Genomic DNA, 20,816 nt, shown 5'->3' with positions numbered 1-20,816 from the left:
TCCCCCGCAGCAACGGCGCTGGCGAGAAGCGGCGGCAGCGGCTGCAGCCCAAGAACAAACCCACTCTCGCGAGAGAGCTCGCCCCCACCCCCTCGATCTGGTTCGGCGCGCGCCAGGCCCCTCCCCCTACTCAGCGCGCGCACCTCGCTCGTGCACTCGCCTGCGGTCGTTGTTCTTTAATCCCGGAGATCCCTCTCCGTCATCCAGCTGAGGCGGGAAATGGAGGAACAGACGTGGCTTACGAGTTCGAGTCCCATTCCCGAAAAGGCTGTTTGTCAACCTCCTGAATAGCATAATACAAAGTTTAAATAGGGTATGCCTTAGAAGGGATTCGCGAGAGTCCCTGGCTTAGACTCGACTTTTATGCTCTCTGGTTGTTCTGTTTGCCAAGGAATGGTGGAAAGCGCCAGATATTGGGGCCACAAAGGGAAAACGATACCATTTTGGCTGGTTTTTATTTAGGTATGTTTATTTATTTATCATAAATAAACTGTGTTGCTCAGGTTGGAGTGCGCTGGCGTTATCATGGCTCATTGCAGCCTCGAACTCCTATCCTCAAGGGATCCTCCCACCTCAGCCTCCCCAGTAGCTGGGACTACAGGCTCGCACCACCATGGCCAGCTAACTTTTTTATTTTTATTTTTTCCGTAGAGATGGTGTCTCGTTATTTTGCCTAGGCTGGTCTGGAACTCCTTGGCTCAAGCAGTGCTCCCGCCTCCGCCTCTCAGCATTGGATTAAGGGCGTGAGCCTACACGCCCAGCCAGCTGTTTTTTTTGTTTTGTTTTTTGTTTTGAGACGGAGTCTCACTCTGTCACCCAGGCTGGAGTGCAGTGGCGCGATCTCGGCTCACTGCAAACTCCGCCTCCCGGGTTCACGCCATTCTCCTGCCTCAGCCTCCGGAGTAGCTGGGACTACAGGCGCCCGCCACGACGCCTGGCTAATTTCTTTTTGCATTTTTAATAGAGGCGGGGGTTTCACCGTGTTAGCCAGGATGCTCTCGATCTCCTGACCTTGTGATCCGCCCGCCTCGGCCTCCCAAAGTGGCCAGCTGGTTTTTAAAATCAGGAATTCTGTGCAGGAGGGTCGTTGAGGCGGAGGACCGCGAGCCTTTTCCTTCCTAAAGACCACCGCCGCCTTTTGGTGAATTTGACTGAATGCAATACACTCTTGGGACTGAGGTACTGGTTAGGTACCCGGGTTGGAGGGATTTGAGCTCCGGCCTTCAGAGGCTTAAGTAAATTGTTTGGAGACCTAATCTGGCTGCAACTCTCTCCCCAACCATCCTTGCAGAACTCCGCATCTGGAGAGTTGGGAATTTTCCAGCACAGTTAATGATTATAATATGGAGTGCTTTCTATAAGGTGGGCAATGCAATAAGCAGTTTACACATAACCCTACAATAACCTTGAGAGGCGGCTACTGTGGGATACCATTTGGTAGATCACAAAACTGAGACATTAAAAGGTTATGTGATTTGAGGCACGGTAGATCTCGCCTGTAATCCCACCACTTTTGGAGGCCTTGGCGGGTGGATCACTTGAGTTCAAGAGTTCCAGACCAGCCTGGGCATCGTGGCGAAACACCGTCTCTACTAAAATAATAATAATAACACAAAGTTAGCTGGGCGTGGTGGTGTACGCCTGTGGTCCCAGCTACTCACCTGGTACGGAGGACGGGGCTGAGGATCGTTTGAGCCGGAGGCGGAGGTTGCCGTGAGCCTAGTGCACCACTGCACACTCCAGCCTGGGCTACAGAGTCAGACATTGTCTCAAAAAAAAAAAAAAAAAAAAAAAAAAGGTTATGTAATTCAATAAAGTGAAAAAGCTGGTCAGTGGAGTCTTGATGCCTCAACGAAGCACTACCTGAAATGGCATAGCCATAAAAATGAAGTTACTTGGCCAGGCGCGGTGACTCATGCCTGTAATCCCAGCACTTTGGAAACCCGAGGCAGGTGGATCACTTGAGGTCGGGAGTTCGAGACTAGCCTGACCAACATGGAGAAACCCCGTCTCTACTCGAAATACAAAAATTAACCGGGCATGGTGGTGCATACCAGTAATCCCAGCTACTCGAGAGGCTGAGGCAGGAGAATCGCTTGAACCCGGGAGGCGGAGGTTGCGGTGAAGCCAAGGTCGCGCCATTGCACGCCAGCCTGGGCAACAAAAGCAAAACTCCGTTTCAAAAAAAAATGAAGTTACCATCTCAAGACAGGGTAAATTGTTTTATCTACAAAATAAGTAGTAAGCCACTGATTCACAATATTACTTTATCTCAATCTAATTTAGTCAGTGATACAAGAAATATTTCTTGAGTACCTACTGTGTCAATATATTAGGCCTCAGCCAAAGAGCAGGAAAGGAGACAAAGGCACTGCCCTCATGGAGCTTACACTTTATGCAGACATTAAACCAATAAATATGTATTTGAGACGAGTGAATAATCTGAGGGAATGAGGAGCTTTCCTGAGAAACTGAGGTTTGAGCTAATATCTGACGAGTAGGCAATTAACTAGGTGAAGGGAATAAAGCATCCCCAGGCAGAGGGATCAGAATGTGTGAAAACTCTGAGGTAGACTTTGGGAAACTGCAGAATTTTTGGTGTGTTGTTTATTTTTGGAGACAGGGTCTTGCTCTGTTGCTCAGGCTGGAGTGCAGTGGTGTGACCATGGCTCACTGCAACCTCTGCGTCCCGGGTTTAAGCAATCCTTCCGCCTCAGCCTCCTGTGCATAGACATTAAAAAGGGCTGGAGATGTAGGAAAGGGCCATTTCCCTGGGGTTACAAATTCAAATGCAGAATCTAAGATAAACTGGGTAATACAAGTCCTATTTAATACTATCCAACGCAAGTTCAGTTGGGGACACATGAATTTTAAGGTAAGGAGTGGTATATATGGGTCTTGAGCCCAGGGAAAGATTGTGGGTTAGTGACAAATTTACAAGTTAATGCCGTAAACGAAGTAACAGGAGTTGAAAAATAAACTTAAAGCCAGACACAGTGGTTCACACCTGTAATCCCAGCACTTTGGAAGGCTAAAGTGGGCCGATCGCTTGAGGCCAGAAAGTTCAAGACCATCATAGGCAACATGGTGAAACCATGTCTCTACAAAAAATACAAAAATTACCCAGGCGTGGTGGCATACGCACCTGTAGTCCCAGCTACTCCGGGGCAGGGGTAGACAGGGTCAGGGGTGGCTGATGTGGAAGGATCGACTGAGCCTGGGAGGGGGTGGCACTGCACTCCAGCTAGGCAACAGAGCAGGACCCTGTTAAAAAAAAAAAAAAAAAAAAAAAAAAAAGAGCGGCCAGGCGCAGTGGCTCATGCCTGTAATCACAGAATTTTGGGAGGCAGATCGTTTGAGGTCAGGAGTTCGAGACCAGCCTGGCCAACATAGTGAAACCCCATCTCTACCAAAAATATAAAAAATTAGCTGGGTGTGGTGGCGCTCGCCTGTAATCCCAGCTACTTGGGAGGCTGAGGTTGCAGTGAGCCATGATCACACCACTGCACTCCAGCCTGATCAACAGAGCAAGACTCTGTCTCAAAAAAAAAAAAGAACCTTAAGTGGATGCAGTGAAAAAAGAGGCCTGAGCGCCAATCCTTGAGGAACTTTAATCAAGTATAGCAAAGGAAACTTAGTGGACAGGGGTAGGGGGAGAAAAGCAAATATATGTATATATGAAGGGAAGGCAGAGGAAGGAAAGCACAGAAATTGTGTTGCCTTGAAAACAACAACAAAATACTTCAAGGACAAAGTGATCAACAGGGTCAAATGCTACCAAGAGGTCAAGATGAAGACCAATGACATCTACAAGATTTAGCAACATGGATATCAGGTAACATTGAGAGTTGCTTCCACTGAAGCGTGAAATAGACTGGAAAGGCTGAATATGGGAAGAAGGAAGACAAAAAGTACTCAATGCAGAAAATTTTGGCTATGAAGAGACTAGAGGAGAGAAAGCAGGATTAAGGGTTTTTTGTTTTACTACGTGAGGGACTTCAGCACAACGAATTGGCAGTAAGGATATCTTAACGAAGGAATTGTTGGAAAGACAAGGAGATGGGATAATCCATAATAGAGGTTCCTGAAAGGATAGGGAAGAAAGATAATTTCCTTTACAGTAACAGGAGGTATGGAGCAGACAGTGCTGAAATTTCATTAGATTGGTAGAAGGAAGACATGGACATTATAGTCAGCTAATATCAATTTACTCTGTGAGAAAGTCTTCTGTTGAGAGCTGGAGCTGCAAGAAGGAAATTTATATATTTATGTATTTTTTATCATATTTATAAATTTAGAGACAGGGTATATATTTAGAGATGGGGTCTTGCTCTCTCATCCAGGATGGAGTGCAGTAGCTTGATTGTGGCTCACTGTAGCCTCTAATTCCTGGGCTATAAGCTATCCTCCTTCCTCAGCCTCCCAAGTACTGGGACTTACAGGGGTGTGCCACCACGCCCAGGCAAGGAAAATGTTTAAATAGCCATTGTGAAAGTGGAACTGCAATCTTACATCTGTATGTTATTTTCTGTTTTTCAAAGGTTTGAGCAAAGCTTACAAAATGTGATTCACATCTTTGAGGCCAATCATTTGACAGGCTTGGAAAAGGAATTTGGTAGGATTCATCAAGGGCTGGGGCTTCCCTCATGATGTTGGCCGGGTGTGGTGGCTCACGCCTGTAATCCTAGCACTTTGGGAGGCTGAGACGGGCAAATCACAAGGTCAGGAGTTCAAGACCAACCTGGCCAACATGATGAAACCATGTCTCTACTAAAAATCCAAAAATTAGCTGGGTGTGGCCGGGCGTGGTGGCTCATGCCTGTAATCCCAGCACTTTGGGAGGTTGAGGCGGGTGGATCATGAGGTCAGATCGAGACCATCCTTTCTGACATGGTGAAACCCTGTCTCTACTAAAAATACAAAAAAAATTAGCTGGGCGTGGTGGCAGGCACCTGTAGTCCCAGCTACTCGGGAGGTTGAGGCAGGAGAATGGCGTGAACCCAGGAGGCGGAGCTTGCAGTGAGCTGAGATTGTGCCACTGCACTCCAGCCTGGGCGACAGAGTGAGACTCCGTCTCAAAAAAAAAAAGAGATGATGTTTAAACCCACCATGTAGCTAGCTTTGGAAAGACAAAATTTTTTTGGAGGGAATCTTACTTTTCAGTGACTCTTGAGTCTTCCACTCAAAAGCTGATCTGCTTTCTACTCTGCAAGTCTGATTCCAACTGATCTTGTTCTCAACTATTAGATGAAACAACAGCCTCTGGTCCTTTGGCAGACAGAAACATGACTGCCTATCAAATCTCAGTTCAGATACACACCTACCCATGTTTGCATAAGGTTCTAATGCCATCTGGTGATCGTGCAGAGAAAGTCAAACTTTTTCAACGAAGTAATTATTTATTGAGGAACTTAGTGATGATGTGGGAGATTCAAAAGAAATATAACAGGTGCTTAGGGGCTTATCAGCAAAAAGACACAAAGGAAAAAAAGTTTGGTTTTTGTTTGTTGGTTTGTTTGTTTTTTGAGACAGGGTCTCGTGTTTCCCAGGCTGGAGTGCACTAGTGCCATCTTGGCTCACTGTAGCCTTGATTTCCTGGGCTCAAGTGTTCCTTCACCTCAGCCTCCGAGTACCTGGGACTACAGAAGCGCGCCGCCAAACCCAGCTAATTTTTTTTTGGTATTTTTTGTAGAGACGGGGTTTCATTATGTTGCCTAGGCTGGTGTCGAACTCCTGGGCTTATGTGATCTGGCTGCCTTGGCCTCCCAAAGTACTGGGATTAGAGGTGTGAGCCACCATGCCCGGCCACCAAAATTAATGCAAGATTTCATTCATCAAATGCCTATTTCATGAAGGACATTCTACAATGATGGAAAAGACAAACTTCCAGCCCTTAGGATCTTGGTTTGATGGAGATTGACAAGGAGTTTGACCTCAAAGTGGGCCTGTTTGTGAGCAGGCATGGGTAAAAAGCTGTATTCACATTTGGGTGTGGGAGTGGGTGTGCATCAGGAATGGTAAAGAATGGGGCCTTTCAAAGCAAGAATTGCTGGTGAGACTTTGAAAGGTCTAAGTGACAAGTTTGGTACAGCTTAATGATGAAACTTTTTTTTTTTTAGAGACGGAGTTTTGCTCGTTGCCCAGGCTAGTGTGCAATGGCGCAATCTTGGCTCACGGCAACCTCCGCCCACCGGGTTCAGGCGATTCTCCTGCCTCAGCCTTCTGAGTAGCTGGGATTACAGGTGCGCGCCAACATGTCCAGCTAATTTTTGTACTTTTAGTAGAGATGGGGTTTCGCCACATTGGCCAGGCTGGTCTCGAACTCCTGACCTCAGGTGATCCACCCGCCTTGGCCTCCCAAAGTGGTAGGATTACAGGCGTGAGCCTCCTCTCCCAGCCCTGTAATGAAACTTTCAATGCCAGAATAGAGTATGGATTTGAGATTATAATGAGGACCTTTTCCAATTTTGAGTAGAGGAAAAAGCAAGAAAAGATTGGGGACATATACTTTGACACCACAAAATCCATTAAAATATATTATGTGAATATGAGGAGTCCTGTCATCAATGACATTTTTCTTGAAATTTCTTTTGATGAGAAAATTAAGCTTGACAAAGGTAAAAGTCCTAAAAGACGACAAAATGGAATTATGGAATTCACACCTTTGAGGTCAACCATTTGATATTCAGCAGCCAACTAATATTTGAGAGACTATTTATTACTATTGTATACTAGGCACTTGCCAGTACATAATAGTAAACAAAATAAAACAAAATAAAAGGTCTCTGCTCTCATGGAGCTCAGGAGTCTAGCAGAATAGACCACTATTTACATGCTCTACTAAGCAGTTGATAACACATTTTAATTACCATTATTCCTTTTTTTTTTTTTTGAGACGGAGTCTGGCTCTCTTGCCCGGGCTGGAGTATAGTGGCATGATCTTGGCTCACTGCAACCTCCGCCTCCCAGGTTCAAGCAATTCTCCTGCCTCAGCCTCCCAAGTAACTGGGATTACAGGCCCGTGCCACCAGCTTGGCTAATTTTTGTATTTTTAGTAAAGATGGGATTTCACCAAGTTGGCTAGGCTGGTCTTGTACTCCTGACCTCAAGCGATTTGCCCGCCTCAGCCTCCCAAAGTGCTGGGATTACAGGTGTGAGCCACTGTGCCTGGCCAACGTACCATTATTCCTATTTCACATAAGATATCAAGAAGCTTGTCCACAGAGGAGGTCTACAGAAATAAATAATAAAATTAAAAAGTCCAGGCACAGTGGCTCACACCTGTAATCATAGCACTTTGGGAGGCCGAGGTGGGAGGATTACTTGAGGGCAGTTCGAGACCAGCCTGATCAACACAGTGAGACCCCATTTCTATTTTATAATAAATAAATAGCTTTTAAAAAGAAGATTGCCTATGATCTTGCAGCTAGAGACAAATGCAGAGCCTTTGAATGTTATGCTGTCTGCAGCAGAGTTGACACCTCAGAAATCTACTGGGACAGTTTTAATGCCCTGGAACCAGGTCATTTTTTAAGGCTACTTAAAAACAGAAAACTTAACCAGTAGCTGCTCTTCTAGCAGTGGCAAGAGGATGGGGTCAGGTCTTACAAAGGAGTTTTTGAAAAGGTTATATATGAATTTCAAAACTCTGTCTTTTGAGAGTTTAATTATAATGTGTCCTGGTCAAGATATCTTTAATATATTTGGGGTTCTTGGATCTGGATATTCATTTGTCTCTCTAGATTGGGGAAGTTTCCTTTAAGTAAACTTTCTGCCCTTTATTCTGCTCTTTCTGAAATACCCAAAGTGCGTATATGGGTTCACCTGATGGTGTCCCATAGGCTTCACTTTTTCATTTTTTTTTCCTCTGACTAATTTCAAGTGATCTGTCTCAAGTTCATTGATTCTTTTTTTGAGTCTGTTGTTGAAACGTCTGTGGAATTTTCCAATTTAGTCATTGTGTTCTCTAGCTCCAGAATTTGGTTCTTTTTAATGATTTCTGTTTGTTGAACTTCATATTGTTCATGTCTTGTTTTCCTGATCTCATTTAATTCTTTTTTTTGAGACGGAGTTTCACTCTTATTGACCAGGCTGGAGTGCAATGGTGCAATCTTGGCTCATTGCAACCTCCACCTCCCAGGTTCAAATAATTCTCCTGCCTCAGCCTCCCAAGTAACTGGGAGTAGAGGCCTGTGCCACCAGTAGAGCGAGATTCTGTCTCAAATAAAAATTTTAAAAATGTCTTGAAATTCTTATTCTGGCCCACAGTTTCTTCAAGACACAACAGGGCAAGCATTGAGGAATTTTAATAAAAAGTGATAAATCATATCATGGGGCAAGACTAGGGATTAGAATGTGGCATTCATTAAGGCTTTCCAGAGGAATATTTTTTAAAAATCTAAAAGACTATGTTTTGTTCTGTTAGGACAAACAGAACCCACTGCACACTACAGCAAGAGTAGCCAAGATGTTGACCATCTGAAACAAGGTATTTGGCATTTGAAATAGTTGTAAGAATCTGTAAGTAAGACATTTGAGTAGTTCCTTCAAGATGTTAGATTGAACGAGGTTGATGATTGAAGAAGCAGAAATTTACAAGACTTGAGGGCACTATACATGAAAGCTCCTAAACCAAACAGTACTTTTGGAGCCAGATTCATTCAGCACCACACAAGTTCTCGTGTGACTGTGACTTTGGGCAAGTAACATGTACCTTGTAGGGCTGTTGAAAAAAGAGATGTGTTAAATGTATTTAACATGGTCAACATGTAGTAAATAGTGTTGATATTCTATGGCGCCACATGTCCCAAAGTATACCCTAATGACAAAAAATCATAGATTCAAAGATTTTATTTTTTATAGAACCCCAGAATAATAACATATTATAATTATACACTTCAATCTGGTTATAAGTTATATCCTCGCAGCTACTTACCAATATGCCTGCTTGTAAGAGAGGTTCTTCAAGTTATAATTTACACAAAGATGTCTCACAAATTTTCTCAAATATAAAGATATTTACAGATTACTGAAATAAGTAACAAAAGCCTACACATGTGTTTTAGTTAACAGATGTCTGAAATCTAAATAGCAAGTCTCTGCAAATCCATTATTTTCTTTTTTTTTTTTTGAGACTGTCTCAGTCTGTCACCCAGGCTGGAGTGCAGTGGCACGATCTCAGCTCACTGCAACCTCTGCCTTCCAAGTTCAAGCGATTCTCGTGCCTCAGCCACCCAAATAGTTGGGATTACAGGCATACACCACAACACCCAGCTAATTTTTGTATTTTTTTCTTTTGTAGAGACGGGGTTTCACCATGTTGGCCATGCTGGTCCTGTCCTGGCCTCAAGTGATCCACCCACCTCAGCCTCTCAGTGTTGGGATTATAGGCAACCGCGCCCGGCCAAATCCATTATCATCACTTAATGTTTAAAGGCTACGTTCAGTTTCCTATAGGTGATATTGTTAGGATCTACTAGCAAATGATTTGGTAACCTGACATCTTTGTATTCATGTCCAAAAAAATTCTTTTATAAGAACAAAAATGGTACTCTTAGCCTCATTCACTGGAGTATTACTGAAAAGCATGATATTCTTACTCTATTTTGGGTACATTATGACAGAGAGGTTATTATTACCAACTGTCAGTAGAACTGAGGCTTCTTGAGTAAAGGGGATTGAGGTAAACCTTTGGAAGCTGGTGAATACATTTCAAGACACAACATGGCACCTGTGTCTAGCTCTATGGTACAACATGGTACTATGACACATATAATGGGTTGCCAGATGGGGAAGGCAGCTTCTCTGCAACTGAGCTGAGATCTCAAAATAGACAATGTCAAGATGGAATGAGAAGGGAAAAACAGCATGTGTAGACAGGTAGTGACAAAAGGCTAATTAAGGACTGAAAGAAACCAGTGGCCAACAAGGGAATCTACGGGTGATAAAGATAAGACGGTGAGAGAGATAAGGCTAGATTGTATAAGGCTTGACAGACCATAGCAAGATAAGCAAGAACTGTGTCCTGTTAACCATTTATCCCTAACATCTAGCATAGAGTTCAGTTAGTAAAAGCCATAAACCCTTTGAGTCTTCTGGCAAGATAAGTAATTAGCACAGATTATTGTCACTCACTGCAACTCAGCCTTGGAGGGAGTACACAAATCAGAAGGAGGTCAAGTGTCTGGGAAATTAAATGACGGCACCTGGAAGAACAGATCATTGTTGGGGTAAGAAATGGAAGCCCAGTGTAGAAAAGGATAGAATGCCATGGGGTTAGAGGTAGCAGAGGCTGGGACAGAACTTGTCTGTTCTGCCCCCTTTCACCCCTCCTGTTCTTTGCCTTATGTCCAACCCATCACTTGCTGGGGTAGTCAGCCTAGTTGAACAGGTTTAGACAACCCTAGAGTTCTCTCCAGGAGAATTAATACTGAGAAGGAGAAGTTCTACCATTGTCACTCTGGTGAAGCACAGATTCTAACTCAGAGGCTCTTTGCCTTGAGGGGCATCTTCCCTCTCCTTCAACTCATCAGAACCCTTAGTTCTGGGCTTGGCTTCTCCCTTTTAGCAGCTGATAACAAAATCCCCATCCTCTACTATAAGCTTACGGGCTGAAAGTCAGCCATGTAAGGACTACAGCATCCACTCTCAAAAGACAACAGGCTCAACCACTATTCTCTACATGACAGAATAAAGTAAGACCACAGAATAAAAATGGAATGTTTTGAGAATTTAGGAGGCAGCCGGGCACGGTGGCTCATGCCTGTAATCCCAGCTACTGGGGAGGCTGAGGCAGGAGAATCACTTGAACCCGGGAGGCAGAGGTTGCAGTGAGCTGAGATTGAGCCATTACATTGCACTCCAGCCTGGATGACAGAGACTCCGTCTCAAAAACAAACAAACAAAAAAACAAAACTGTCAAGGTCATTAAAAACAAGTCTAAGAAGCTGTCATGGCCAACAGGAGCCTAAGTGTAATGTGGTATCTTCAACGGGATCCTAGAACAGACAAAAGACATTACATAAAAACTAATGAAATCTGAACAAAGTATGGACTTTAGTTAATACTAATGTATCAATATTAGCCCATTTAATTGTGACAACCATAATATACCAATGTAAGATGTTATTAGGGGAAACTGGGTATGGTATATATGGGAACTCTTTGTACCATCTTCCCAACTTTTCTATAAATCTAAAAGTATTGTAAAATAAAATAAATTTTAAAGTCCTTTTTACTGTACTTTCCCAATGAGTATATCACCCTTAAGAAGCAGCACAGAACATTCTTACATCCTAAAGGGCCTTTACTGGAGGGCAAGGAAGACCAAACAAGTAACAGGGTCTCCTCTGAACAAGCCTTAGGCTACTAAACTGACAAATTTATGACTCATCAAGTTGGCTCATTACAAGTGTTCCTAAATAGCATTAAGGAGAAAGATGTTGCTAAGCAGAGATTTTAAGTTATTACAGTTAATTTGTTAATTCAGTGAAATTGTTTTTCAAGAGTATATTGACAGGTCCATTAACTGGAGCTGTGTTCATAAAGCCCTAATTAAGCAACAACATTCACAGGAGTCATTGTCACTCTTTTTAAGTTCTTAATTAGTTGCTCTTAGCACGGTGTTTTCCTTTGTGTGAATTCCTAGGCACTTAGCCACCTCTTTGTGTCCCTTTGGGACTTGCAGAATTTATCCCTCTGGGTTTTGCTTTTCTGGTTTAAATTTGAGTGAGGCATGATCCAAAATTTCAACATAAAATCCCACTGACACTAGTTTGTTTCAACCCAGCAAGTGAAATCATGGACAGGTGCCAGGAATAGTGTTTATTAATTGTGGTTCCCTCATTTTTTAAAAAATTCAAGGTTGGTGGGGGTGTTTGGAAACCCTCCTTATTTTTAGTTTTTCCTCTTAATATGGTACAGGCCTAAGACCTGAAACTTGGCCTAAGCAATGAAAAGAGGCACTTGTGTTTACTGCTACCTATGGCAGCTGGCAGCCTGGGTATTTACAGACCAGTAACCCTGCCAGTCTCATTCAAGTTTTCATTGCAGCATGGGAAAAGATTAACAGAAAAAAACTACTTCGGCTGGGTGTGGTAGCTCACACCTGTAATCCAGCACTTTGGGAGGCTGAGGCGGGTGGATCACCTGAGGTAAGGAGTTTGAGACCAGCCTGGCTGAAATGGCATGGCAAAACCCCATCTCTACTAAAAATACAAAAAAAAATTTAGCCAGGTGTGGTGGCGTGTGACTATAGTCCCAGCTACTTGGGTGGCTGAGGCAAGAGAATTGCTTGAACCCAGGAGGTGGAGGTTGCAGTGAGCTGAGATCGTGCCACTGCACTCCAGCCTGGGCAACAGAGCAAAAAAAAAAAAAAAAACAAAAAAAAAAACTACTTCGAGGCCAGGCAGAGTGACATCTGTAATCCTAGCTACTCAGGAGGCTGAGTCAGGAGGACCACGTGAGCCCAGAAAGTTGAGACTGCAGTGAGCTGTGACCACACCACTGCACACCAGCCTGAGTGAGACCTTGTCTCTAAAAAAAACAAATAACTACTTTGAAGCCAGGCATGGCAGCACATGCCTATAGTCCCAGCTACATGGGAGGCTGAGGCAGGAGGTTTGCTTGGCCCAGGAGGTCAAGGGTGCAGTGAGCTGTGCTTGTGCCACTGCACACCAGGCTGGGTGACACAGTTGAGACCCTCTATCAAAAAAGATTTTAAAAACTAATCTTCTTAGACTCACCAGGAAATATATTTCTTTGCTTAAAAAAAAAAAAATCGACAGGGATAAGTAGGTGAGTAACTTTATTTATCAAGTAGGAAATCCCATCAAATTATTTAAATGCACATGATTACACCATTGATGCCTTTTGGGATATTGAATACAGGAATACCAATGAATTATCTATTTTCAAGTAGCAATATAGGAACGTCTCTGCACATGGATAGCGCTACTGTAGTCAGGAAGACAACCTGTATGCTTAGAACTTGAGGCCTCAGATTTAAAGTACTGTGACTATTCATGACATAAAATTTTCCTCTTTCCTTAGGAGCCATTTCGGTTTTACCAACTCAGACTGAGATTGTGGCTGAGTTTGATAAGTGCAGACTGCTATTCTTTCTTAAGACCTCTCCCTTTGGAGCACATTAAAAGTGGAGAGAACTGCTGTAAGTAACCCATGCAAAAAAACACATAAACAAATCCCAAACACACAAAAAACAGACTATTTTTACTACTGGTTAATTTCTTGCAGTCACCTTAGTGCCCTAAAAGATGAAGAGTATGATGCTCTAAGGCAAAGCTATTGATAACATTAAACTTTTCAGAAAGACACATTGCTATTGGCTCTGAACCTGTCACTAATGAGCTGTTCAACTTTCAAGGCCTGAATTTCATTCTCCAGGACAGAGGTTGGCAAACCATAGCCTATGGGCCAATTCCAGCCTGCTGTTTTTGTATGGCTCTCAAAATAAGAATGGTCTTTAAATTTGTAAATCATTGAAAACAATTTTGACACTGAAAATTTTATGAAATTCTAATTCAGTGTCCATAAATAATGTTCTATTAGAACTATAGACTTGCTCATGTGTTGATATTGTCTAAGGCTGTGTTTGCACTAGAGCTGCAAAAATAGTTGCAAAAACCACATGGCTGAACAAGCATAATATTATATTACCTGGCTCTTTACAGCAAGTTTGCTGATCCCTGCTCTAGAACAGCAGTGCATAATAAACTTTCTGAATTGGTGGAAATGTTCTCTAATATTGGAGTTGTCCAATAGGGTAGTCAGCAGCCAGATTCTGAGATTAAGAAATTGATTAATTTTTATCAACTTACACAGCCACATGTAGCATATACCTACTGCACAGCAGAGCTCCAGAAAAGTGAGGGATGGACTTTAGATCCTAAGAATTCTCTAAAATTCTGATACTTGGCTGGGCGCGGTGGCTCATGCCTGTACTCCCATCACTTTAGGAGGCCAAGGCAGGTGGATCACGAGGTCAGGAGTTCGAGACCAGCCTGACCAACATGGTGAAACCCCATCTCTACTAAAAATACAAAAATTAGCTGGGCGTGGTAGTGCACGCCTATAATCCCAGCTACTCAGGAGGCCGAGGCAGGAGAATCGCTTGAACCCAGGAGGTAGAGGTTGTAGTGAGCCGAGATTGCGCCATTGCACTCCAGCCTGGGAGACAGTGAGACTCCGTCTCAAAAAACAAACAAAAAAACCTGTAATCCCAGCATTTTGGGAGGCCAAGGCAGGCAAATCGCAAGGTCAGGAGTTTCAGACCAGCCTGGCCAATATGGTGAAACCTCGTCTCTACTTAAAATAAAAAAATTAGCCTGGCATGGTGGCAGGTGCCTGTAGTCCCAGCTACTCGGGAGGCTGAGGCAGGAGAATCGCTTGAACCCAGGAGGCAGAGGTTGCAGTGAGCCGAGATCGAGCCACTGTACTCTAGCCTGGGCAACTGAGCAAGACTCCGTCCCCCCCCAAAAAAAAGTCTGATACTCTACATAATTTTTCACATCATAATTTTAAGTCCCCTACCCCCATCTGAGCTATAGTAATTTAATTGGGACCTACATGACAAGAAGACTACATACGTTACTTATCTTGGTGTCACACAGGGCTGTCAGACATCTGGGGTCCTGATGGAGGTAGATGTCATTCAGGTGAAGGCATCTAGGATTCAAAGAGGTAAAGAATGACAGGCTGTCCCTAAGACAACCTGTCTTTTTCTGCAAACAGAAAAAAATTGTTTGCACCCAGACTAGGATCAACTCCACAGGAGTCATTCCACTCTCAGAGGTGCAAAACACTGCCCAAAGGTACTCAGCTACAACACCAAAACAGTGCTTGGAGCCAAACCTCAATAAAGACAGTGTTTGCTCTTCCAACAGTGTAACACCATCACAGGCACCACATGAGCCTGGATAGCTGACAACCGCTGGATGATTCCTGAAACAGCTTTCTCATTATTTGTTTCAGATACCTAGGCACTCCAGGTAGAAGACGTATCAGTTGAATATTGACTGCAAAACAGGCGTGGAAGCACTAATTGCAGACCCTGTTGTCAAACCCTTTAACAGGAATCCCCTTCTGTGTTTTCAGTTGTTTTATGCAACATTCAGGGAGGTCCTGCCATGTGCCAAGCACTGCGATTGGGATCTAGCAGTGAATAAAACAAGATATATTGTCCTTTCCTTCATGGATCTTACAAATACAGGTTAATTTACCTCCCATTTGTTTCCTGATAGATACCAACTAGCCCACAGGCCTGGCACAGAGGAGGTAGTCAATGTTGGAATGAATAGGGATATTTACCTGAAAACTGCACATGCAGACTGTCACCTGCCACTATTTCCTCCCTTCAGATGGGTGAAGGATGCCCTACTTTCAAGTCATCCTAAAAAGGAAGACAAGCAAACTTAGTGATCTAGTACACAGAATATAATAAATAGCAATGCATTGTGTGTGTGTGTGTATATATATATATATATTTTTTGAGATAGGGTCTCACTCTGTCTAGACTGAGTGCAGTGGCATGACCATGGTTCACTGTAGTCTCAATCTCCTGGGTCAAGTGATCCTCCCAGCTTAGCCTCCCAAGCAGCTGGGACTACAGGTGCATGCCAACACACCCACCTAATTTCTTTTTTGTTTTTTATAGAGATGAGATCTCTTTCTGTTGCCCAGGCTTGTCTCAAACTCCTGGGTTCAAATGATCCTCCCACCTCAGCCTCCCAAAGTGCTGGGAATACAGGTGCGAGCCACCGTGCCTGGCCTGTATATTTCAAAATTGCTAAAAGATACTAAATGTTTTCACCACAACAAAATATAAGTATGTGAGGTGCTAGATGTGTTAACTAGCATGATTTACTCATTCCACAATGTAAACATGTATGAAAACCTCATGTTGTACCCCATATAACATATACAATTACTGTCAATTAAAAAAAAAAAAAAAAAAAGACGAGCAGACATGATATATTTCCCATGAATTTGAATGTTTGGCACCCTGGTCTAAAATAGCAGCTCCTAAGGACCCTTATCTGGAGAGATGGAAATAGAATGCTGCTTGCCATTTACCCCAATTTCTATAGCCTCAGGAATTATTTTATTTACCATTATTTGCCTTTTCCCTGCCTATAGTACTATAAAGCTAACCATCCCCCAAGCCCTACAGATATCACTAGCCTTAAGACCCCATATGTAAAAGGCTATTCACAGTTGAGGCATTCACACAAAGCACTCACATTTAGTTGAGAGAATCCTATTAAGGGAATGCCAACTGATCTAACAAAACAAGCTTTGATAAACAACTCCCCTGCCCCCCAACATCCTCCCCATTTCCTCCTGTGGAAACTAGTATGTCACTTTTCACAGCAACCGAGGGTCATCTCTTCTCAAAAGATTAGCATTCCAGGCCAGGCACGGTGCAGTGGCTCATGCCTGTAACCCCAGCACTTTGAGAGGCAGGAGATCACTTGAGCCCAGGAGTTCGAGACCAGCCTGGACAACGTCGTGAAACCTTGTCTCTACTAAAGCCTGGGCAACATAATGAGACTTTGTCTCTACAAATTAAAAAAAAAAAAATTATCTGGTTGTGGTGGCACACACCTATCATCCCAACTACTTGGGAAAAAGCATTCCAAAACAAAATTACTACAAAGGGAACTCAATATCTACCACTTTAATGGGGCAACAACTGTTCATTTCTGAAAATCAGTAAGCAACTAAAGCAAATATACTGTCAGCCCAAAGGAGAAATTAGTGTGGTTGTAGTTGTTCAGTTCCCAGAGCCCCCTCAATCAATATTTTAATATTTTATTAAACAGCTAGAGAATGCCCATAATTTTAAAGTGAATTACCATCAATGTTTCCCTAATAGGGAATCCATCCCTCTACAAAGGGTGTCATGACTAGCTTTTATGGTGGGTAGTAGGAGCCATGGACTTTAATTTCAGTGAAATTAGCAAAAATCCCATTGTATCTGGCCCCCTTTGAGCCCTTGGTAGGCACTAAAAATAAAGGTGTGACTTTTCCGTCTATTTTTACCAACCCCCTCTTCCCATTAGCTTTGTTCTGTTTCCAAGGTATGATTCAAGTAACTTCATGCTACCCAAACCTGTTGGACCAGAACTATTCAGGAAGGTCTGGACTTATTCTCTGCAAAAAGTCATGCTCTCACAGATTAAACCTTAATGCAAGCTTTTCCAACCCGCAGCCCAACACAAATTGGTAAACTTTCTTAACACATTATGAGGAGTTATTTTTGGCAATTTTTTTTTAAATTTAGCTATCAGTTATCGTTAGTGTTACTATATTTTATGTATGGCCCAAGACAATTCTTATCCTTCCAATGTGGCCCAGGGAAGCCAAAAAACACGCCTGCCTTAATGGATAAGCAACTATGCTGGCATCCTGGGGTAGTCAACACAAGAGTTGGCATGAACCAGGGCCAGAATGCCAACCAGCTATTGGCTGCTGTTCTCCCAGCAGTGTAACACTTGCCTAGGTACAAGACAACCTAGGCAGCTGCCTACAGCTGGAGCCAAGAGAGCTGAAGGGGTTGCACTCACCTGCAGTTGCATCTGCCACAGCCAGCCTCTCTGCAATGAAACAACTCCAGGTTAGTCAGCCAACAGTGAACACGTGTGCAGCTCAGAGTCCCTCCCCTCAAAACACGGTAACTTAGGCCTAAGCCACAGAAACAATAGCAGACAATAAAACCAATAGCTTATCCTTGTTTAGCTTTGTTTTCATCTCTTGTTACTTATACACCACAGCAGTTCAATAGTAGCAAAAGAGTCGATTAAACAAATATCAGGGAGCCTGGCTCTATCCCCTAACCAGTGTCTAGCCAAATGATACTGGGCGAGAAACCTCTCTATACCTCAGTCTCATTTGTAGAATGGAGGTATTATATTACAGGGTCTTTCTCTGCCACCCAGGCTGGAGTGCAGTGGCACAATCATGGCTCACTGCAGCCTCCACTTCCTGGGCTCAAGTGATTCTCCTACCTCAGCCTCCTGAGTAGCTGGGACTACAGGCGTGAGCGAGCACACCAAGCTGAATGGGGATATTACTAATAGTCCTCTGTAAATAGGGTGGTTGGGAGGCTTAAGTGAAATATAAGCTAATCCTCAGGATAATGTCTGGTATAGTGTGGGCACTCAGTAAACACCTGAGGAGCTACATTCCAAAAAAGGCTTAGATGGTGAATATGAGTGAGTAAAAAGGGAAAAGTTATCCAGTGAGAGAAACGGGCAGTGAACAGTGGGAACACTGGATAGAGGAGGGCCTCCAATACTTCCTGAAGGACAATAAAAACAGCACTTGGAAAAATAACTGCAGTATTGGATGTGAGGGGAATTGGAGGCAGTAGTCGTGCCAAGACCTCAACTACTGATTAAAAGCAATAACGAAAATGTTAGGCCGGGCGCGGTGGCTCACGCCTGTAATCCCAGCACTTTGGGAGGCTGAGGCTGGCGGATCACGAGTTCAGGAGATCGAGACCATACTGGCTAACACGGTGAAACCCCGTCTCTACTAAAAATACAAAAAAAAAAAAAAAAAAAAAAAAAAAATTAGCCGGGCGTGGTGGCGGGCACCTGTAGTCCCTGTTACTCGGGATGCTGAGGCAGGAGAATGGCATGAACCCAGGAGGCGGAGGTTGCAGTGAGCCGAGATCGCCCTACTGCACTCCAGCCTGGGCAACAGAGCAAGACTCCGTTAAAAAAAATAAAAATAACCAAAATGTTTGCACAAATGATAATAAATATTCCTACACAGTCACCATTTTTTTTTAGACGGAGTCTTGCTCTGTTACCAGGTTGGAATGCAGTGGTGCTATCTCGGCTCACTGCAATCTCTGCCTCCCGGGTTCAAGCGATTCTCCTGCCTCAGCCTCCCGACTTCAGGCGTGCGACACCACGCCCAGCTAAGTTTTGTATTTTTAGTAGAGACGGGGTTTCACCATGTTGGCCAGGATGGTCTTCTTCTCTTGACCTCGTCATCCGCCCGCCTCGGCCTCCCAAAGTGCTGAGATTACAGGCGTGAGCCACGCGCCCGGCCTCACAGTCACCATTATAATTTATGTAAGGCTAAGATCATACCTTTTTCCAGCCATCCCCAAATTTCACTCCTGACTTCCTCCAAATAATTTAGAGGAACAGGAAAATGAGTAGAGAGGGTTCATTGTTCGCTGGGTCTAAAAACAGATCTAAAAATAGCCTGCCCCTTTCAAGGCTCGGGTTAAAGGGGCTGACTCAGTTCCACCGGACATTTGTTCCTCACAAACCTTCCAAAGTCCCTGCCTCTGGCCCTGGGAGATCGAGGCTCTCGGAGTCAGGCTCTATGGGACTCCCTAGGGAGAAGAGGGAAGAGGGATGGTAGAAAAACAGGGGACGACTCCGAGGCCCAAGTCTCTTTCAGATGCCCTCCAAGCTCGGGATCACGAGGGGACGAACCCCAATTTCGTCCCGTGCCCCGGCAGAAGCCACCCTGCACTGCTTCTTTCCCCAGGCTGGGAAACCTCCAAGGACTCTCCCCTCTGGGTCCTTACTCACGCGCACGTGTTCGGAGCTCCGCAGGGCGCAGCAGCACCGGCAGAGGCCGGAGGGGAAAGGGCAGCCGGGAGCCGAGGGGAACCCCGCCCCGGGGCGGCTACTGGGCGTGGCTTCGGTGGGCGGGGCCCTTGACCCCGCCTAGGAAAGGCCGGGCTTTAAAAAAAAAAAAAAATGCGAGTGCGGTGGCAGAGGTGAACCTGCTTCTTAGAGGAGAGAAGGGCTGGGGTCTGAGCAATGGCTGGGTTTGTTGGACTCCCATCCCATCTCTTAAGGGTAGAAGGGGCGCATAGTTCGCAGCTGCTCAGGAGAGAATCTGTGTGTCCTAGTGGAGCCAGGCTTCCTGCCTGCCCACACTGAGCGCCCCCGGAACGCTGGTTCCGCTCACGAGCGTGGCGCCTTTCCGTTGCTGCAGGCCCAGCCCACGCTTTTGCGCTTCCCACGCATATCCTTTTTCTGGCTTTCTGCGGCAGCGCTGTCATTCGGCTAATGGATCGCTCACCCACGCAGGTCACCTTGGTCCACGGTCTTCGGGATCTTTCCAGGAGGTTTTCGAATAGATTAAGCCAGTCACTCCTACTGCTGACCTCTGCAGGACCGGCCTCCCTAGTGCCCTGCAGTGGGATTCTTCGCCGAGCTGCAGTAACTGAAGAACACTGGCTTTCTCTGCTAGACTTGCCCTGCACCATGGCACAGTCAGGCAGAGTCCTTGGTCAGGACAGACTGCCTGCAAGGCTACCAGGATTTCTTTGGAACACTAAAACTTCCCTCTCCCAGTGGCTAGAGTCCATATGATTCTGCTGGGGTCCAGAGTGGAAGGCCTACAAGCAGTGATTCCCAACTCCATTCTCTAATTCCCCCAAATTCCTTTCCGACACCCGCCCCCCAACAACAACAACCAATCCTGTAAGTTTTGCTGATCTCTTGCACCTGGCACCATTGCCAGGTGAACCCCTGGGAACCAAGCCACTGCCCTTGGCATCTGCCAACATGTTTCATTGTCTATTTCCTCAGCTCTTTCATAATGAAAAAGGTATGCTTCTTGTGCACCCCAACTCTTGCAGACCTCTCCTAAGAAAGCCCAGAGCCCCAGTTTGATTCCAGCAAGAGACCCTAGGCTGTAGGGCCAAAGAGCCACTGGAGGGGAAGTGGCAAGCTCAAATCCTCCCCAGTTTTGATGCAGTTGGACATAGGCTCTGGTTGGGAAAAGGCTTACATAAATACAGTAATTTAAAAAGTCACATG

General features: G+C 44.6%; 1 protein-coding gene, 2 long non-coding RNA genes and 2 other non-coding genes across 40 annotated transcripts in view, besides 2 other annotated features; 1 reads left to right on the top strand and 4 right to left on the bottom strand.

Moving 5' to 3' along the window:
- The window catches only part of MATR3 (matrin 3), a 57,577-nt gene extending 37,942 nt beyond the window's left edge, over nt 1-19,635 (bottom strand). For 5 of the 23 annotated variants that reach the window (NM_001400442.1, NM_199189.3, NM_001400460.1 and 2 more), the window contains exons 1-4: nt 19,575-19,635; nt 17,586-17,615; nt 15,328-15,409; nt 14,607-14,685 (exon numbers count right to left, since the gene is read on the bottom strand). Coding sequence is in view for 2 of the 23 variants with exons in the window: in NM_001400459.1 (NP_001387388.1) it covers nt 13,678-13,728 (51 nt within the window). In the remaining 21 variants the exon portion in view is untranslated. Of the gene's footprint in view, nt 1-160; nt 284-1,661; nt 3,269-13,677; nt 13,802-14,606; nt 14,686-15,327; nt 15,410-17,585; nt 17,616-19,306; nt 19,373-19,570 lie in introns of those variants that run through there. The other 18 variants (NM_001400444.1, NM_001400448.1, NM_001400463.1 and 15 more) reach the window with 12 other exon arrangements.
- On the top strand, nt 179-20,669 carry LOC124901081 (uncharacterized). 4 transcript variants are annotated; one of them, XR_007058956.1, is made up of 4 exons: nt 179-462; nt 8,426-8,488; nt 13,051-13,168; nt 20,082-20,669. It is a non-coding gene; the product is annotated as an uncharacterized LOC124901081 (long non-coding RNA). The 4 variants fall into 4 exon arrangements; XR_007058958.1 differs by lacking the exon at nt 20,082-20,669 and adding an exon at nt 14,992-15,082 and having other exon boundaries at nt 179-313; XR_007058957.1 differs by lacking the exon at nt 20,082-20,669 and adding an exon at nt 14,992-15,082 and having other exon boundaries at nt 324-462.
- Nucleotides 8,836-19,635, bottom strand: SNHG4 (small nucleolar RNA host gene 4). Of its 11 annotated transcripts, none has more exons than NR_182757.1 (7): nt 19,575-19,635; nt 19,122-19,372; nt 17,586-17,615; nt 15,328-15,409; nt 14,607-14,685; nt 13,678-13,801; nt 8,836-10,997 (listed from the first exon to the last, which is right to left on the bottom strand). It is a non-coding gene; the product is annotated as a small nucleolar RNA host gene 4 (long non-coding RNA). The 11 variants fall into 11 exon arrangements; NR_182752.1 differs by having other exon boundaries at nt 19,307-19,372; NR_182755.1 differs by lacking the exon at nt 19,122-19,372 and adding an exon at nt 14,996-15,171.
- SNORA74A (small nucleolar RNA, H/ACA box 74A) lies at nt 14,757-14,956 on the bottom strand. Its single transcript, NR_002915.1, has one exon. It is a non-coding gene; the product is annotated as a small nucleolar RNA, H/ACA box 74A (small nucleolar RNA).
- SNORA74D (small nucleolar RNA, H/ACA box 74D) lies at nt 17,413-17,556 on the bottom strand. The gene has a single exon (NR_145749.2). It is a non-coding gene; the product is annotated as a small nucleolar RNA, H/ACA box 74D (small nucleolar RNA).
- Nucleotides 19,562-19,641: a silencer, noted in NCBI's record as "silent region_16407". NCBI's record gives its function as "represses an Ori minimal core promoter by ATAC-STARR-seq in GM12878 lymphoblastoid cells {active_cell/tissue: GM12878}" and the evidence as "EXISTENCE:reporter gene assay evidence [ECO:0000049][PMID:35858748]".
- Nucleotides 19,932-20,281: an enhancer, noted in NCBI's record as "active region_23218". NCBI's record gives its function as "activates an Ori minimal core promoter by ATAC-STARR-seq in GM12878 lymphoblastoid cells {active_cell/tissue: GM12878}" and the evidence as "EXISTENCE:reporter gene assay evidence [ECO:0000049][PMID:35858748]".

The sequence above is a fragment of the Homo sapiens genome, chromosome 5 (genome assembly GCF_000001405.40).
Source record: "Homo sapiens chromosome 5, GRCh38.p14 Primary Assembly".
Lineage (NCBI taxonomy): Eukaryota > Metazoa > Chordata > Mammalia > Primates > Hominidae > Homo > Homo sapiens.
This window is presented reverse-complemented; position numbering and strand designations above follow the sequence as displayed.